Genomic DNA, 17,001 nt, shown 5'->3' with positions numbered 1-17,001 from the left:
GTACAGACCAGCCCCTTTTTCATCCATGCAATGGGAAGGGGACTCGGGCATCCTTTTAAGGAGCTGAGAAATGGGTCCTCAACTTAAAAATTTTTGTTTGTGCTACTGCGGTATAAAAAAAATAAAACGCAAAGTAGCAGACGGGGTGCAGGCTCTACGGGGCTCCGTTTCCCTCTCCTCCGAGTCTGGCGTGGAGGAGCCCCTGGGCTCCCTAGAGCCCCCAGCAAGGCGCATCCCGACCCGGGCCGGGAAGCGGGGGGACCCCGGACACACTCTCGCTGCTCAAGTTCGCGCCTCCGCGCCCCGAGGCGACGCCCCCGGCCCGCGACCCCGCGCGCACCTACCTTGCGCCAGCGCCCGGAGCAAGTGCAGCTGCAGCGCCAGCAGCGCCCACCAGCCGCGGCGGCCCGGCCCCAACTTTGCCGCCCGCCGCCCGCCGCACCGCCCCGCGCCCGCCGTGTCCCCGCCGGAGGTCTCGGGCGCCGCCCGGGGTCGCGAGGGCTCCGGGCCGGGGCGCGGCGCCAGCGAGGGGCGGGCGCGGCCGGGCGGGGATCCCCGCGGCCGCCCGGGGCCCGCGCGCTCAGGGGGCTCCGCGCCGCCGCCGCCGCCACCGGCCGCCGAGGGCCGGGCGCCCCGGGCCATGCCGAGCAGCCGCCACCCCGAGCGCCGCGCCGGACGGACGGGCGGGCAGGACAGGCGGGACGGCTCCGAGCGGGCGCGGCCACTCCGCGGGAGGCGCGGCGCCCCCCGGCCCGAGGTGAGCGGCCGCCCAGCGCTGAGGGGCGGCGTCCTGGGTCCCCGCGTGAGGGGCGCGGCGCGGGCCGGGGACGAGCCGGGCGAGAAGAAGTTGTCAACGGGGGAAATTCGCGTCCGGCGCTCACGCAGTCCCGAGCCCGCCGCGCTAGCTCCGAGGGGTCCGCCGGGCGCGGAGGAGCCGCCGCCGCCGCCGCCCCCGCCCGGCGCTGAGAAGAAAGTGCGCCCGCCCGCACGTCGCGGTCGCGCTCGCCCTCAGCTGCCGCGGCCGCCGCTCCCCATTCACAGCCCGGCCGCACGCGCCGCCCGCGCCCGCCGCCCGCCGCCCGCCGTTGATTGGCCGAGGGAGGCGGCGCCCGCTCCCAGGGCCCGCCCCCCAGGCCCTCGCTTGTTTTCAAAGTCGCGGCGCCCGCCCGCCTGCAATTTTGTGCCGGCCGCGGCGCCTGGCTCGGGCGGCTTCCCGCGCCGGCTGCGCCCCCTAGGGACCCGTAGTGGGGACTGCAGGCGGCGTCGATTCGGCACGCGCTCCCGTGGCGGGCTCGCGGGCGGGGGTGGTGCATCCTCGCCCGGCCCCGCAGCGGTGCGGGCGCCCGAGTGGGAAGGGCTCAGGTGCAGCAGGACGCGCAGATCGTGCGGCAGCCCAGGGCCGAGGGCGGAATAGGGCGCGCCCCGAGAGGCGCCCGGCTACCACCAGCTAGCTCAGTGCTTGGGGGTGACGCGCCAAGTTACCGTAATTGCAAACACGCGCAATCGGGTTTTTAATTTCTAGCAACCAAAGGCACCACTGGGTGCAAACTCGCCTCCTGTTCAGAGGAGTGGATATGGCATTGTAGAAGCGTCCAAGGTCACTTTTGGCCGGCGCTGGAGGAGGGCGGGGTAGGGAGGGACACATTGCAGGTTTCCCACCGTGGAGTGGGCGAGTCTTGGGGCAGGGTCGGCCAGTGGGAGGGTCTCCCAGGGCGGGACCCGGGAGCCTGTGGGGCTGGGGGTGGGGACGGGCGCCGACGCTCAGCATGTGGTAAGCATTAGCAGAGTTTATGGGGTGAACTAAGCGCACTGGAGGCTGAAAGGCCAGCATTTTTGTGGGAGGAGAGCTGGAGGTGACACGCACTGCCTCTGGAGTTGGCCCGGGAGGAGCCTGGGGACGTGTGATGATGGTCGCATGAGATCATGTAAGAGATGAACGCAGAGGGGCTGGGTGTGAGCCCAGCACGGGGCTGACTCCCCAGGAATCACCTGATGCAGTAGGTTTATTGTCCCAGCCAAGAAAGACCCCGGGCGAGTGGAGAGCAGGTCACAGGGCTGGGGTCTGGGATAGGAGCCAGCTCCTGCTCACAGAGCGCCTATGGTATTTGTCAAATAACTGATTGGTGGCTCAATATTAGCCTCTGTACACGTCCCCTAAGACTTAACAATGACCACGTGAACAAAACAGGGAAACTGAGGTCCAAGTACAGCCGCCGAACAGGAGGTGGTTTCAGAAAGAGGCCTCCCATCTGCCCCCTTTCCACACCATGCTAGGAGGGGCAAAAAAGTTAAAGGAGCCACGGAGTGCCCTGTTCTGAGGATATAGTGAGGGCGCATAGATGGGACGAGCCGGAAGAGGACAGCTCCCCAAGGACATGGGGATGAGACTGGAGGCAGAGAGGCATGTCTGTTTTTATCTTCTGTTGGTAGCAAGGCTGGGTTTCTTCAAACTTGCAAGATTATAATGAGAACCTGCTGGGCGGGGGGAAGCAATACCTCCTGTGCAGTGAGCACTCACTGTAGGCCAGCCCAGGGCAGCAGCAGCAGCAGCTTCACTACCTGCTGTGTGAGAGGTGCTGGCCCTGGTACAGATGGAGAAACTGAGGCATAAAGAAGTGGGCCGGGCGCGGTAGCTCACACCTGTAATCCCAGCACTTTGGGAGGCCGAGGCGGGCGGATCACTTGAGGTCAGTTCAAGACCAGCCTGGCCAACATGGTGAAACCTCGTCTGCAGTTAAAAAAAAAAAAAAGAAAAGAAAAAAGAAAGAAGAAAATGAAGAAGAAAGACAGAAGAAGAAGATGATTAGCCAGGCGTAGTGGCGTGCGCTTGTAGTCCAAGCTACTCGGGAGGCTGAGGCAGGAGAATTGCTTGAACCTGGGAGGTGGAGGTTGCAGTGAGCCGATACCTTGCTACTGCACTCCAGCCTGGGCGACTGAGTGAGACTCTGTCTCAATAAATAAATAAATAAATAAATAAATAAATAAATAAATAAATAAATAAAGGAAGTGAAGTGTTTTGCCCAAGGTCGGGAGCTCACCTCCCTTCCTCTTCACCCCAACCACCTCTGCTTTGCTGGGAGATAGAGGCTGGTGATCCAAGAGTGGAGTCATGGGGCTTTGAGGTCTCACTCAGCTCCGCCCTTTGTAGTTGTGAAATTTGGGCAAATCGCTGACTCCAAGTTCCTGTAAAAAGTTAGGAATAATTCCCATCTCCAGGGTAGTAGACAGAGTGAGATAATTCACACTCAGTAAATGCTGGTTTTCCTTTCCCTCTACTAACGTGGCAATCCTTGTCCCAAACTACCCTTGCTCTCCCCGCCATTTGAGTTTGCTGCACATTTAACCTTTTCCTCTCCAGTATCGATCTATATCCACCACTTTCACGTAGAAACCTGTGCCCATATACCGCTCCAGTCCACATAGGCACGAACATAACTCAAGCAACTTCTTGACTTTAGGACACGTCAAAATTACCCAGAGCCTCTTTTGCCATGACTTATTTTGCAGGTAGCAGAAAGCTTTGTGGAAACTTGCTTGGAAATTGGAAAGCCAAGTTAGTATACACCAGGTTATAAGAGATCAGTGACCAGGCCAAGTGCAGTGGCTCACGCCTTTAATCCCAGCACTTTGGGAGGCCAAGGTGGGTGGATCACTTGAGGTCAGGAGTATGAGACCAGCCTGGCCAACATGATGAAACCCCATCTATAGTTAAAAAATAAATAAATAAATAAATAAATAATTAATTAGCTGGGCGTGGTGACGGGCGCCTGTAATCCCAGCTACTAAGGAGGCTGAGGCAGGAGAATCGCTTGAATCCAGGAGGTAGAGGTTGCAGTGAGCCGAGATCGTGCCACTGCACTCCAGCCTGGGTGACCCAGTGAGTCTCTGTCTCAAAAAAAAAAAAAAAAAAAAAAAAAAAAAAGACAGATCAGTGACCTCACTGTTACTACAGAAGGTCTGGAAACCTCTCCAAGAAATTTTTTTTTCTTCCTATCCCAATATCAGCCTTGAGAAATAAGGTTCTACTCTAATCTCCATTCTACAGTTGGAGAAGCCAAGCCTAGAAAGTTTAATACATGCGAAGCAACCGTGCTAAAGCCAGAACAAGCATCCAGCTCTCCTGAGTCCTGTTCTGAGACTTGTTTTTCCTCGCCCCGACCATGTTGCTTTTCACAGGACCTATTAGGTTACCATTTTGGGGCCTGTGTTTAGACTACAGCTATTCTTTCTCAAACAATAATACAGAGAAACCCCTTTATAATGCTGGGGAGGGGAGACAGCCAGGAGGGGGCTGGAATATTTCTGCCCTTAAGGCCAGTGAATCTCTCAACTTCATTTTGCCCAGCCCTACAAGAGGGCCTCAAGAAGTGAGCATTTTATACCTGCATACTTGCCATTAAAAATTGTAACCATATACGCTAAAGGCCATGAGGTGGAGGGATGTTACTCCATGAAAACTGATTATTATTATTTCCCCTTCTTCTTCTTCTCCTCCTCCTCCTTCTTCCTCTTCCTCCTCCTCCTCTTCTTCCACTTATTCGTCTTCTTCCTCTTCCTCTTCTTCTTCCTCTTCCTCTTCCTCCTCCTCTTCTTCCACTTATTCATCTTCTTCCTCTTCCTCTTCTTCTTCCTCTTCCTCCTCCTCTTCCACTTATTTGTCTTCTTCCTCTTCCTCTTCCTGTTCCTCTCCTTCTCCTTCTTCTTCTCCTTCCCCCAATGAGCCCTGGCCATCTCCTACTTTCCAGAATAAGAAGTTAGAATTTTCCCTGCTTAATTAAAAAGAGAGAAGGAAGAGTTTTCAAAACAGATGATAATTTTCACGTCGTTAGGATGATCCATGAAACCAGCAGTGCTTTCCCTTGTTGTGATTTAAAGCCTGCTGCTCCAGGTATGGCCCGTGGGCCATCTACCTCACCTGGGAGCTTGTTAGACATGCAAAATCTCAAGCCCAGTCCCGGACCTGCTGACTCATACTCTGCATTTTCAAAGATCTCCAAGTGATTCCTGTGTAAATGAAAGTTCGAAAATCACTCATCAATCCCGTTGAGTCTGAGGAATATAATAGAGCCCTCATTCCTCTTTTGCTTCATTCTGTCCTTTCTCCTCCTTTTTCTTATGGGCCATCACATAAAAGAGAACCTTTTTTAAATGATAGAAATATTTTTATTTTAAAAGGACAATTTGCAACTTTCTAGAACATCAGTAGCTTGAACTGTATACCAATTCAAAACCAAAAGCATCTGTATGGCACTGTGAAAAAAAACTAACAAACTGGAGAAAATGTTACTATCTATGTTAGTCAATAAGACTTACAGCTTTTATGAGTCAATAAGAAAAATAGATGAACAAGCCCTATAGAAAAATGAGCAGAGGCTGGGTGTGATGGCTCAGGCCTGTAGTCCCAGCACTTTGGGAGGCCAAGGAGGGAGGATCACTTGAGCCTAGGAGTTTGAGACCAGTCTGGGCAACATAGTGAGACCCTCATCTCTCAAAAAAATATATAAATAAATAAATTATCATGTGTGTGTAGTCCCAGGTACCCTCGAGGCTAAGGTGGGAAGATCACTGGAGCCTGGGAGGTTGCAGTGAGCCATGATTGTGCCACTGCACTCCAGCCAGGCCACAGAGCGAGACTCCATCTCAAAAAACAAAAGACCAAAGAATAGTAACAGGCAGAGAGATATAAAGAGAAAATAAATGAAGAGATGCACCAAGAAATTGATTTTTTTTTTTTCTGAGACAGAGTCTCACCTGTCACCCAGGCTGGAGGGCAGTGGTGTGATCTCGGCTCACTGCAACCTCCTCTGCCTCCCAGGTTCAAGCGATTCACCTGCCTCAGCCTCCTAAGTAGCTGGGATTACAGGCTCATGCCACCATGCCCGGCTAATTTTTGTATTTTTAGCAGAGACGGGGTTTTGCCATGTTGGCCAGGCTGGTCTTGAATCCTGACCTTAAGTGATCCACCTGCCTCAGCCTCCCAAAGTGCTGGGATTACAGGCGTGAGCCACCGCGCCCAGCCAGAAATTGATCTTAACAGTGAAAAATTAAAGCAACGAGGCTTGTAAAAAATGTTTAAGGACTGACTGATAATGGCAAATGTGTGGTAAGACTATGAGGAAATGAGCATTCATTTATTCTTAGTGTAAGTACAAACTAAACAGCTGCCGTGGAGAGAAACCTGCAATCCATAGTTAAAATTTATTTGTTTGTTTTTTGAGACAGAGCTCGCTCTGTCACCCAGGCTGGAGTGCAGTGGTGTGATCTCGGCTCACCCCAACTTCTGCCTCCCAGGCTCAAGCGATTCTCCTGCCTCAGCCTCCCGAGTAGCTCAGATTACAGAGGCGCGCCACCATGCCTGGCTAATTTTTGTATTTTTAGTAGAGATGGGTTTCACCATGTTGGCCAGGCTGGTCACGAACTCCCAACCTCAGGTGATCTACACACCTTGGCCTCCCAAAGTGCTGGGATTACAGGCATGAGCCACTGTGCCCAGCCGGTAGTTAAACTTTAAATATGAATTGTCTTTGATCTATTATACCTCACACATGCAAAAAGACATATGGATAAGGTTGTCCAGTGCAGCATCACTAGTAGCAAAAAAAAAAAAAAAAGTGCAATATGGCATATCCACACAATACATTTCTGGATGACTGTTAAAAGTGCTGATGTAGAAATGTCTGCTATATACAGTTCTGTGTTTTAAAAGTTATGGAGCAAATATATAATCTCATTTATGTCTTTTTTTTTGTTTTGTTTTTGAAAGGATGAATGCCTAATGTATATAATTTCCTTCAGGGGACATGGAATTATGTGCTTTCCGGTACTTTTTTTTTTTTTTTTTTTTTTTTTTTTTTTTTTTTTTTTGAGACGGAGTCTCGCTCTGTCGCCCAGGCTGGAGTGCAGTGGCGGGATCTTTCCTGTACTTTTTATATTTCCAAATGTGAATGTGTATGTCATAATTTACAAAAAAAAACCAAAACACTAATAAAGCTTGCTTTTAAGAAGCGGAAGGTGGTGAGCCTAAGAAGTTTTTTCTTACCCATAAGTCGTTAGGAAATCTCCCCCATGGGTTCCCATGGTTCTACTTCTGAGAAAAATAATCCCCAATCCTATCAGAGGCCAACTTACAACATGCACTTGTCCACCTGGGGATGTGATGCTCTCCCGTGTGCAATGCAAGGCTCCCAGTCCACATCCTGGGGGTCCCTAATGGCTGGTCCCTAAGGTCCTGTCCTGATGAGAACTCCAGCCTCTAGTTGCCTCAGTGGTTCACTCTCAGATCCCTGCCAACTGCTGATCCCGCCTCAGCCTCACCTTTGTTCTGTTGCCTGGCAACCCATTAACAAGCAGGGCGCAGTTCCAGGTGCAGCTTTGAGCCCTAATGGGGCGCGTGCTTTGGTTACCTAGTTTCCTGAGATATCTTCAAAAGCTATAATCCGATTAAATGCTCTTATTAAGGAAGCTATGAAGAAGAGCGGTACCAGAAATGTACCAAGCTTCCAAAAATGCCTACCAGCTGCCTTTAATAGTAACTGTCCCTCAGCTCTCGGGGTGCCTTAAATTGCAAGAAGCAGAGTTTCCTGACCAGCTGTTATCAGTATCACCTGGACATCGCCCCACACTACTGAATCAGAAACTCTGGGGGGTGGAACCCAGCAAGCTATGGTTTAACCAGCCCACCAGGTGTTTCTTTTCTTCTTCTTTTTTTTTTTTTTTTTTTGTTTTTTTTTTTGTTTGTTTTTTTTTTGAGACGGAGTCTTGCTCTGTCCCTAGGCTAGAGTGCAGTGGTGCCATCTCAGCTCACTGCAACCTCCACCTCCCCAGGTTCAAGCGATTCTCCTGCCTCAGCCTCCCGAGTAGCTGGGACAACAGGCATGCATCACCATGCCCAGCTAATTTTTTCTATTTTTAGTAGAGACAGGGTTTCACCATGTTGGTCAGGATGGTCTCAATCTCCTGACCTTATGATCCACAAGCGTCGGCCTTCCAAAGTGCTGGGATTACAGGTGTTGGCCACCATGCACGGCCCAGGTGCTTCTGATATACACTCAAGCTTGATACCCATAGTCGAAAGCAATTCCTTCCATGCCTACTTTTCAGCAAGTGTTTGTCAGATAACTGATTGATGCCTGCCCCAGCACTAGGCAAGAGTGAAATAAACAATTAGAGTAATTGCATTCATATGATAAGTGAAATCACCTAAGGGAATATCAGAGCAGGGATCTAACAGCCTTGAGGAATCAGGGAAACTATTCCAGGGGAAGTAGTGTCTAAACTAAGACCTGAAGAACGAGTTAAGAGTTCATCCCTCAACAGTCAGGAGAAGAAAGTGTGTTCCAGGCAGAAGGAACAGCACCTGCCAAAAGTTTGAAGCCCAGAGTTTGAACTTGAGCATGAGAACAATGGAGAGGCATGGGGATTTGAAAAACCACAGAATCAAAGACTTTTAGAAAAGTCATTCAAAGACCAGCCTGGCTAACACAGTGAAACCCCGTCTCCTCTAAAATTACAAAAATTAGCCTGGCATGGTGGCACGCACCTGTTAATCTCAGCTACTCCAGAGGCTGGGGCAGGAGAATCGCTTGAACCAGGGAGGCGGAGGTTGCAGCGAGCTGACATTAAGCCACTACACTCCCGCCTGGGAAACAGAGTGAGACTCCATCTTGGAAAAAAGAAAAAGACAAAGAAAAGTAATTCAGGTTGTGGGCTAGGTTGGGATTGGGCAAGCCTGGGAGCCAGGAAATCTGCTAGGAGACCGTTGCAGCAATTCAAATATGAAGTAATGGTGGCAGTTGGGACGAGAGAGAAGTGGCAGATTAAAAAGCTATCTATGGCCAAGCGCGGTGGTTTACGCCTGTAATCCTAGCACTTTGGGAGGCTGAGGCAGGCGGATCATTTGAGGTCAGAAGTTCAAAACCAGCCTGGCCTGCATGGTGAAACACCCCCCCGTCTCTACTAAAAATACAAAAAAATTAGCTGGGCATGGTGGCCCACACTGTAATCCCAGCTACTTGGGAGGCTGAGGCAGGAGAATCGCTTGAACCTAGGAGACGGAGGTTGCAGTGAGCCAAGATCATGCCACTGCACTCCAGCCTGGGCCACAGAGCAAGACTCTCTCTCAACAACAACAACAATAACAAAAAAGCTATCTTGGAGAGAGAATCCACAGCTAAGAAAGAGAGGTTTGCAGATAACGTTCTGTTTTCTGGCTTAGGAAACTGGAAAAATGGCGATTTTGTTTCTGAAGGGAGAGAACACAGGTGGAGGGGAAGGTTTGGAGGGATAAGGAGGACAGTGCCACGTTTGATTTTAATCTGTTAAATGTGATGTGTCAGCAGGACATCCTCAGGCAGATACGATCATTAGACATGTGGATGTTGGGTATAATGCAGAGAAGGAAGGAGCAGAGGAAGATGACTTCAAAGGCAACACTGGGCCGGGCGCAGTGGCTCACGTCTAATTCCTGCACTTTGGGAGGCCAAGATGGGTGGATCACTTGAGGTCAGGAGTTCAGGACCAGCCTGGCCAACATGGCGAAACCCTGTCTGTAATAAAAATACAAAAAATTAGCCGGGCTTGGTGGGCGCATGCCTATAATTCCAGCTACTCGGAGGGGGCTGAGGCATGAGAGTTGCTTGAACCCAGGAGGTGGAGGTTGCAGCGAACTGACATCGCGCCACTGCACTCCAGCCTGGGCAACAGAGTGAGACCCTGTCTCAAAAAAAAAAAAAAAAGGGCAACACAGACAAGGAGTGAAGGACTGAAAAGTGACTTGTAGGCTGAGCAAGAGAGCTCCTTCAAAGACCCCGTGAGCACAGTGTTGATGGGTGCCTGAGCCAGTCCCAGGTGGTAGAGACATGAGCTGGAGGTGGACGTGACATTTTCTTTTTTTTTTTTTGAAATGGTGTCTTGCTCTATCGCCCAGGCTGGAGTGCAGTAGTGTGATCTCAGCTCACTGCAACCTCTGCCTCCCAGGTTCAAGCGATTCTTCTGCCTCAGCCTCCCAAGTTGCTGGGACTACACAGGTGTGTGCCACCACGCCTGGCTAATTTTTTGTATTTTTAGTAGAGATGGGGTTTCACCATGTTGGCCAGGATGGTCGCCATCTCCTGACCTCGTGATCCACCCACCTCGGCCTCCCAAAGTGCTGGGATTACAGGCGTGAACCACTGCACCGGGCCCGGACATGACATTTTCAAGAGGTTTAATGCAAAGGTTAGACAGAAGATGGCAGGAAAGATATGGGCTTGTGTTCTGTAGAAAGGGGGACCCAGGAGAATGGGTTGGTCACCAACAGCTCAGCAGCCTCAAATCTCTGGAACGTTCTGTGAAGTGGAGGGTTAGTCTTACGTGGAGGAGGACTATCTAGTCCACTGCAGAAAGAACCAGGGAGAGGTCATAGCTTAGTTAGAAGAATTATCAGGGGAAATTTAGGGAGATGCACCTGATGTTTTCTTCGCTCTCTCTCTAAAATAGCTAGGTCACCTGTTCAATGTGAGGTAAGGAGGGAATTGGGAGCCTTTGAGGGCAGAACAGATGTAGAAAGTTTGAGATATTTACTTGGTGAAAAGGAGAGGCTTTAGCAACAGATTCAACAGACATCTCTCCACCTGATTTTTACATAAGTATTTTAATCCTCACAACAATCCCTGTGTGATGGGAAGTGTGTTTTTCCACTTTACTGAGGCTCAGATATTAAATCATTTGTCCAGGGCCACCGAGCTAGTGAGAGGTGGAGCTGGGATTTGAACCTATGTCTCCTGATGCTGTCTTCTACTTTGGGGGTAGGCAAGACAAATATTGTACAGACGACATCATAAAATTTAGTAGAAGGGTTTTCTTTTTTTTAATATTTTTTATTTGGTTGGTTTTGGGTTTATTTTTCTTTTTGTTTTTTTGAGACAGGATCTCGCTCTGTCACCCAGGCTGGAGTGCAGTGATGCATTCATAGCTCACTGCAGCCTCGAACTCCTGGGCTCAAGTGATCCTCTCACTTCAGCCTCCTGAGTAGCTGGGACTATAGGTGCCCGCCACCACACTGACTGAAGAACTCTTTCTTAAAGAGCACCTTGGTTAAAAGAGGTAGTTTTGGCTGGGCTTGGTGACTTATGCCTGTAATCCTAGCACTTTGGGAGGCCGAGGTGGATGGATTAGCTGAGGTCAGGAGCTCGAGACCAGCCTGGCCGGTATGGTGAAACCCAGTCTCTACTGAAAATACAAAAATGAGTTGGGCATGGTGACGTGTGCCTGTAATCCCAGCTACCTGGGAGGTTGAGGCAGGAGAATCACTGGAACCTAGGAGGTGGAGTGAGCCAAGATTGTGCCACTGGCACTTCAGCCTGGGCAACAGAGCAAGACTTCATCTCTCAAAAAAAAAAAAAAAAAGAAAAAGAAAAGAAAAGAGGTAGTTGTGAGTCAAATAAAATAAAGTTGCTTTAAATCCTTTTAGAAACAAAGTTTGCAAGTAATAGACTCCCCAAGTTGGAAGGGAGAGTTGGGGCTGATCTCAATGCTTATTAAATCCAATCATCTGTCCCAGACATCCAGCTCCTCTGTGTCACCCCTCAAGGTCATTCCATTTGCAGAAAGTTCTCCTTGCTCCAGAGGTCTTGTCTACACCGAATTGTAACCAGCCTCTCCACAGGGATCACCCATCAGTCCTCATTCTGTCCTCTGGAGCTAGATTCAGGAGTCACTGCCACCTCCCCAGTGCCCAAAACAGCACGTGGAGCCCTAGTAACAGTAAACATTTGTTGAAAGAATAAATGGTGGAAGGAGCTCTGATTGAAAATTTATGAGGTCTGGATTTTAATCCAGCTCCATTAATCAGCAAAATAACTTTAAGCGAGCAGCAGTACCTCTTTAGGCTTTAGCTGCATCATCCAAAAATGATAAAAAAAAAAAAAAAAAAAAAAAAAAAAAACAGTCATTTTGCTATGCTCACAGGTTGTGGGGCTCAGGAATCCATTCAGGGCACAGCTGGGAAGTGGCTGGGGATTTCCCTCAGCTGGGATGCCTGAGCTGGGATCACTTGCTAGCTGGGCTCAGTGTGGGCTATGAGCCAGAGTGCATTTTTGTGGCTTCTTGTGGCTTGGGCTTCCCCACAACATGGCAGCTGGACTCCAAGAGGGAATATCTGGAAGCTGCACGGCCTTTTCTAACTTGGCCTTACAGATCATGGAGCATCATTTCTGCTGCTCTCTGTTGGTTGCAAGCAAGTCACCAAGGCCAGCCCAGACTCCAGAGGAATGGATATTAGGCTCTACGTCTTGATGTGGGTAAAGGCAAGGTCACACTGCAGAATAGCTAATAAGATATGAGATAGTGTTGCAGCCATCATGGAAAGTACAATCTGCTTGATACTCCCTGAAGGACTCCCAGAAATATTTGAAGGAAGGGTACTTTGCAAGGGCCTGGGGTCCTGCATTAGAAGCTGGTGAAACCAGATTACAAACACAAAGCCCTGTCCACATAAACCAGTCCTTCTACTAGGTGAGGATTATGGGCTAAATTATGTCTCACCAAAATTCATATGTTGAATCCCTAATCCCCAGTGCCTCAGAAAATGACTACATAGGGACAGGGCCTTTGAAGAGGTAAGTTAAGGCTGGGCATGGTGGCTCATACCTCTGATCCCAGCACTTTGGGAGGCCAAGGCTGGAGGATCACTTCAGCTCAGGAGTTTGAAATCAGACCTGGCAACACAGTAAGACCCCATCTCTATTAAAAAAAAAATTTAGAAATTAGGCAGGCATGGTGGCACATGCCTGTAGTCCTAGCTACTTGGGAGGTTGAGGTTAAGTCTGGGAAGTCGAGGCTGCAGTGAGCCATGGTTACACCACTGCACTCCAGCCTGGGCAACAGAGCAAGACACTGTCTCAACAAAAAGAGGTAAGTTCAAACGAGGTCATTAGGGTGGACCCTAAGCCAATCTGACTGGTGTCCTTATAAAAAGAGGAAATTAGGGCGGGGTGCGGTGGCTCACGCCTCTAATTCTAGCACTTAGGGAGGCCAAGGCAGGCAGATTGCATGAGCTCAGGAGTTCGAGACCAGCCTGAGCAACATGGTGAAACCCCCGTCTCTACTAAAATACAACAATAACAACAACAAAAACAAACAAACAAACAAAATACTGGCCAGGCGTGGCGGCATGTGCCTGTAGTCCCAGCTACTCAGGAGGCTGAGGCAGGAGAATTGTTTGAACCCGGGAGGTGGAGGTTGCAGTGAGCCGAGATCATGCCACTGCACTCCAGTCTGGCGACAGAGCAAGACTCCTTCTCCCCCCACTGCCCCCCAAAAAAGGAAGAGGTAATTAGGACAGAGACATGCACAGAGGGACCATGTGAGAACACAGGGAGAAGACGCCATCTACAAGCCAAGGAGAGAGGCCAAAGAAAAACCAACCCTGCAAACACTTTGGGCCTAGACTTCCAACTTCTAGAACTATGAGAAAATAAATGTCTGTTGTTTACGCCTCCCAGTCTATGGTGTTTTGCTATGGCAGCCCTCACTAACTAACACAGCAAGGGACTAGGTTCCTTTAGCTATGTGGGCACCGTCTCTAAGAGCTGCCAGGCATTAATGGTACTGGACCTGCCATTCTTGCTTAAGGGACATTTTCTTGACATAACAATGCTCTTTGGCATTCTGGCTTCCACCAGGATATTTAGTATGTGGTTGTTTCAATTATGTCAGTTTAACTCCAGTTTTCTTTCTGACTGTTTGTGTTTTTTCCCTCACTTATGAGGCCTAGAATCCTTGGAGAGAAATTTAGTATTTTGCATGTCATTTTTACCTTTCACTCTTCTGGGTTTTGTTCAATGAGGGCATAAAACTGAGAGTTGACCTGCTCCATTATTCTGAAAACTTACTAGAGGAAGGAAGCACATGACTGCAGAGGCACAGAGGGATTATGGAGAATAAGTGGGTGACACATACATATGAAAAGTCTTAAGAAAGTTCATATTTTTTGGCCCCAAATTATATTTCAGCAAATGTATCTTTAAAATAACTGAAAATACAAAGATCCATGTACAAGAATGGTTGTCTCTGCACTGTGGTAATAGGAAAAAATTACAAGCAACCTGAATGTCTAAGATGCATATACACCATGGAATATTATGCAGCCATAAAAAGGAATGAGATCATGTCCTTTGCAGGGACATGGATGAAGCTGGAAGCCATTATCCTTAGCAAACTAATGCAGCAACAGAAAGCCAAACACTACATGCTCTCATTAATAAGTGGGAGCTGAAAAATGAGACACATTACAGTTTATCAACTTCATGGAATGCTATTGAATAGTTTACATTTTGAAAGAATATTTTGCCACACTATTCACAATAGCAAAGATGAAATCAACCCAAATATCCATCAGTGATAGACTGGATAACGAAAATGTGGTACATATACATCATGGAATACTATGCAGCTACAAAAAGGAACGAGATCATGTCCTTTGCAGGGACATGGATGGAGCTAGAAGCCATCATCCTCAGCAGACTAATGTAGGAACAGAAAACCAAACACCACATGTTCTCTTTTGTAAGTGGGAGCTGAACAATGAGAACACATGGACACAGGGAGGGGGACGACACACACTGGGGACTGTCAGCAGTGGGGTCTGGGGAGGGAGAGCATCAGGATAAATAGCTAATGCATGCTGGGCTTAATACCTAGGTGACAGGTTGATAGCTGCAGCAAACCACCATGGCACATGTTTACCTGTGTAACAAACCTGCACATCCTGCACATGTACCCCAGAACTTAAAATAAAAATTAAAAAAAAATTTTAATGGCATGGGAAAATGGTGAAGACAGTGTTAGTTGGGAAAATCATTTATGCCATTTTTCTCTTGCAAAAATTGGAATACATGGGCATATGTTGATGGGTTGGATGGTGTATTAGGCTATTCTTGCCTTGCCATAAATAAAATACCTGAGACTGGGTAATTTATAAAGAAAAGGGGTTGAATTGGCTCACAGTTCTCAGGCTGTAAAGGAAGCATAACACAGGCATCTGCTCAACCTCTGGGGAGGCCTCAGGAAGCTTCCAATCATGGCAGAAGGTGAAGAGAGAGCAGGCATGTCACATGGTGAAATCAGGAGCAAGGGGGGGTAGGGGCAACACACTTCTAAATGACCAGATCTCACGAGAAGTCACGCACTATCGTGAGGACACTACCAAGAGAGATGGTGTTAAACCATTCATGAGAAACCCACCCCCAGGATCCAATCACCTCCCACCAGGCCACACCTGCAACACTGGAGTTTACAATTCAAGTTGGGATTTCGGTGGGGACACAGATCCAAACTATATCAGATGGATAGATTGATCTAAAGATAAATAAACATTTAAAAAGAATTGGAAGGAAATGCATATATATATACACACACACATGGAGAGAGAGAGAGAGACCTGGTCTCACTCTGTCGCCCAGGCTGGAATGCAGTGGCACGATCTTAGCTCACTGCAACCTCCGCCTCCCGGGTTCAAGCAATTCTTCTGCCTCAGCCTCCTAAGTAGCTGGGATTACAGCACAAGCCACAACGCCTGGCTAAATTTTTGTGTGTTTTTAGTAGAGATGGGGTTTCACCATGTTTGCCAGGCTGGTCTCAAACTCCTGATCCGCCCACCTCGGCCTCCCAAAGTTCCGGGATTACAGGCATGAGCCACCACATCTGGCTGAAATGCACTGAGATATTAATGGTAGTCATTCCTGTATAGAATTAAAGGTGGTCTTTTTCTTTAAAATTATCCTTTTGCTTCTAAAAATCCCAAGATGAATACACTTCACTTTATAATAAACAGTAAGGAAACTCCAGTAAGTTATGGTTTAATGTGTGGGTGGTGCTGGCAACTGTCTTCCCCCAGATGCAGGAGAACAGACTTTGTCCAACTCATGCTGAATGGTGTTTGGAATTTTTAGTAATGCTGCCTCTTGCTACCCTCTCCTTCCTTTCTCTTTCCTCTACTTTCTCCTTGCAGAGAACGTTACAATTGAATCCGTCCCTGGTCCAGTTGGCTTCATTCTGGGGCCAACATTGGCACCAAAGAACATTTGGTGGGAGGACAAAGAGTCACAGAATTTTAGAGCTGGAAGGGGCCTCAGAAACCATCAGTCCAACACAGTTATTTATCTTGATGTCAGCCGGAAAAACAAGAAATACACAACAGAACATCCCAGTTTGCCGTAATAAGCCATTACGGGTCTCTCAACCATGAAGTTGTCTGAGTCATTTTTGAAGCTATCTGTATTTGCAAGCCTGTTCCATTTCCATAAATCTGCTCCCCACTGTGTGAAACACAGGGTGTGGGGCCATGGTTTGATAGCAGCGCATGTGAGAAACGCCCGGAGGCTGCTGTGGTGCTGCCTGTGAGCTCTGTGGGAGTCAGCGATGTGTGGTGGTGGTCCCCAGCGAGAGTCACTTCTGCATGGTGGGCAGAAGCAGGGATTTCTGGCCAGCACTGAGCCGGCCTGGCTGTGGCTGGGGCAATGTGTTCAGCTCCTCATGGTGCAGTGCAAAAGGAACGGCCACGAGCTAGAGTCAGTCTTGGTTGCAGTGGCTGGCAGAACAAAGGACATGTAGCCTAAATGGGGGAAGACTGGAGGTGAATTTGAGGCTGTTTTCAAATATCTGACTATGTAGATAAGTTAGATTTCACTGTAGCACCACTGAGGGCGAACCCTGTCTACTGGCCATTTGCAATTCAGTGAGGCAGGGGGATCACCTGAGGTCAGGAGTTCGAGACTAGCCTGGCCAACATGGTGAAAACCTGTCTCTACTAAAAATCCAAAAAATTAGCCAGGCTTGGTGGCAGGTGCCTGTTATCTCAGCTACTCAGGAGGCTGAAGCAGGAGAATCACTTGAACCTGGCAGGCGGAGATTGTTGTGAGCCAAGACCGCGCCACTGCACTCCAGCCTCAGCAACAAGAGCAAAACTCTGCCTCAAAAAAGAAAAAAAAAGAAAAAAAAAAAAACCTTCTAGCAATGGAAGCA

At 49.0% G+C, this 17,001-nt stretch overlaps 1 protein-coding gene and 1 long non-coding RNA gene across 5 annotated transcripts in view, besides 5 other annotated features; one reads left to right on the top strand and one right to left on the bottom strand.

The window, feature by feature from the left end:
- The window catches only part of SDK1 (sidekick cell adhesion molecule 1), a 967,749-nt gene extending 966,772 nt beyond the window's left edge, over positions 1-977 (bottom strand). The window contains exon 1 of the mRNA NM_152744.4: positions 345-977. Within this exon, the coding sequence (NP_689957.3) occupies positions 345-642 (298 nt within the window). The 5' untranslated portion in view covers positions 643-977. The remainder of the gene's footprint in view (positions 1-344) is intronic.
- SDK1-AS1 (SDK1 antisense RNA 1) overlaps positions 1-17,001 on the top strand; it is a 108,539-nt gene that overhangs the window by 49,857 nt on the left and 41,681 nt on the right. The gene's annotated exons all lie outside the window — the stretch shown is intronic.
- Positions 176-676: an enhancer, noted in NCBI's record as "H3K27ac hESC enhancer chr7:3341185-3341685 (GRCh37/hg19 assembly coordinates)". NCBI's record gives its function as "activates a minimal SCP1, AML or CMV promoter by ChIP-STARR-seq in naive H9 embryonic stem cells {active_cell/tissue: H9 hESC(naive)}" and the evidence as "EXISTENCE:reporter gene assay evidence [ECO:0000049][PMID:30033119]".
- Positions 951-1,500: a silencer, noted in NCBI's record as "silent region_17893". NCBI's record gives its function as "represses an Ori minimal core promoter by ATAC-STARR-seq in GM12878 lymphoblastoid cells {active_cell/tissue: GM12878}" and the evidence as "EXISTENCE:reporter gene assay evidence [ECO:0000049][PMID:35858748]".
- Positions 951-1,897: a biological region, named in NCBI's record as "H3K4me1 hESC enhancer GRCh37_chr7:3339964-3340475".
- Positions 1,386-1,897: an enhancer, noted in NCBI's record as "H3K4me1 hESC enhancer chr7:3339964-3340475 (GRCh37/hg19 assembly coordinates)". NCBI's record gives its function as "activates a minimal SCP1, AML or CMV promoter by ChIP-STARR-seq in primed H9 embryonic stem cells {active_cell/tissue: H9 hESC(primed)}" and the evidence as "EXISTENCE:reporter gene assay evidence [ECO:0000049][PMID:30033119]".
- Positions 1,898-2,410: an enhancer, noted in NCBI's record as "H3K4me1 hESC enhancer chr7:3339451-3339963 (GRCh37/hg19 assembly coordinates)". NCBI's record gives its function as "activates a minimal SCP1, AML or CMV promoter by ChIP-STARR-seq in primed H9 embryonic stem cells {active_cell/tissue: H9 hESC(primed)}" and the evidence as "EXISTENCE:reporter gene assay evidence [ECO:0000049][PMID:30033119]".

The sequence above is a fragment of the Homo sapiens genome, chromosome 7 (genome assembly GCF_000001405.40).
Source record: "Homo sapiens chromosome 7, GRCh38.p14 Primary Assembly".
In the NCBI taxonomy this organism is placed as follows: Eukaryota; Metazoa; Chordata; class Mammalia; order Primates; family Hominidae; genus Homo; species Homo sapiens.
This window is presented reverse-complemented; position numbering and strand designations above follow the sequence as displayed.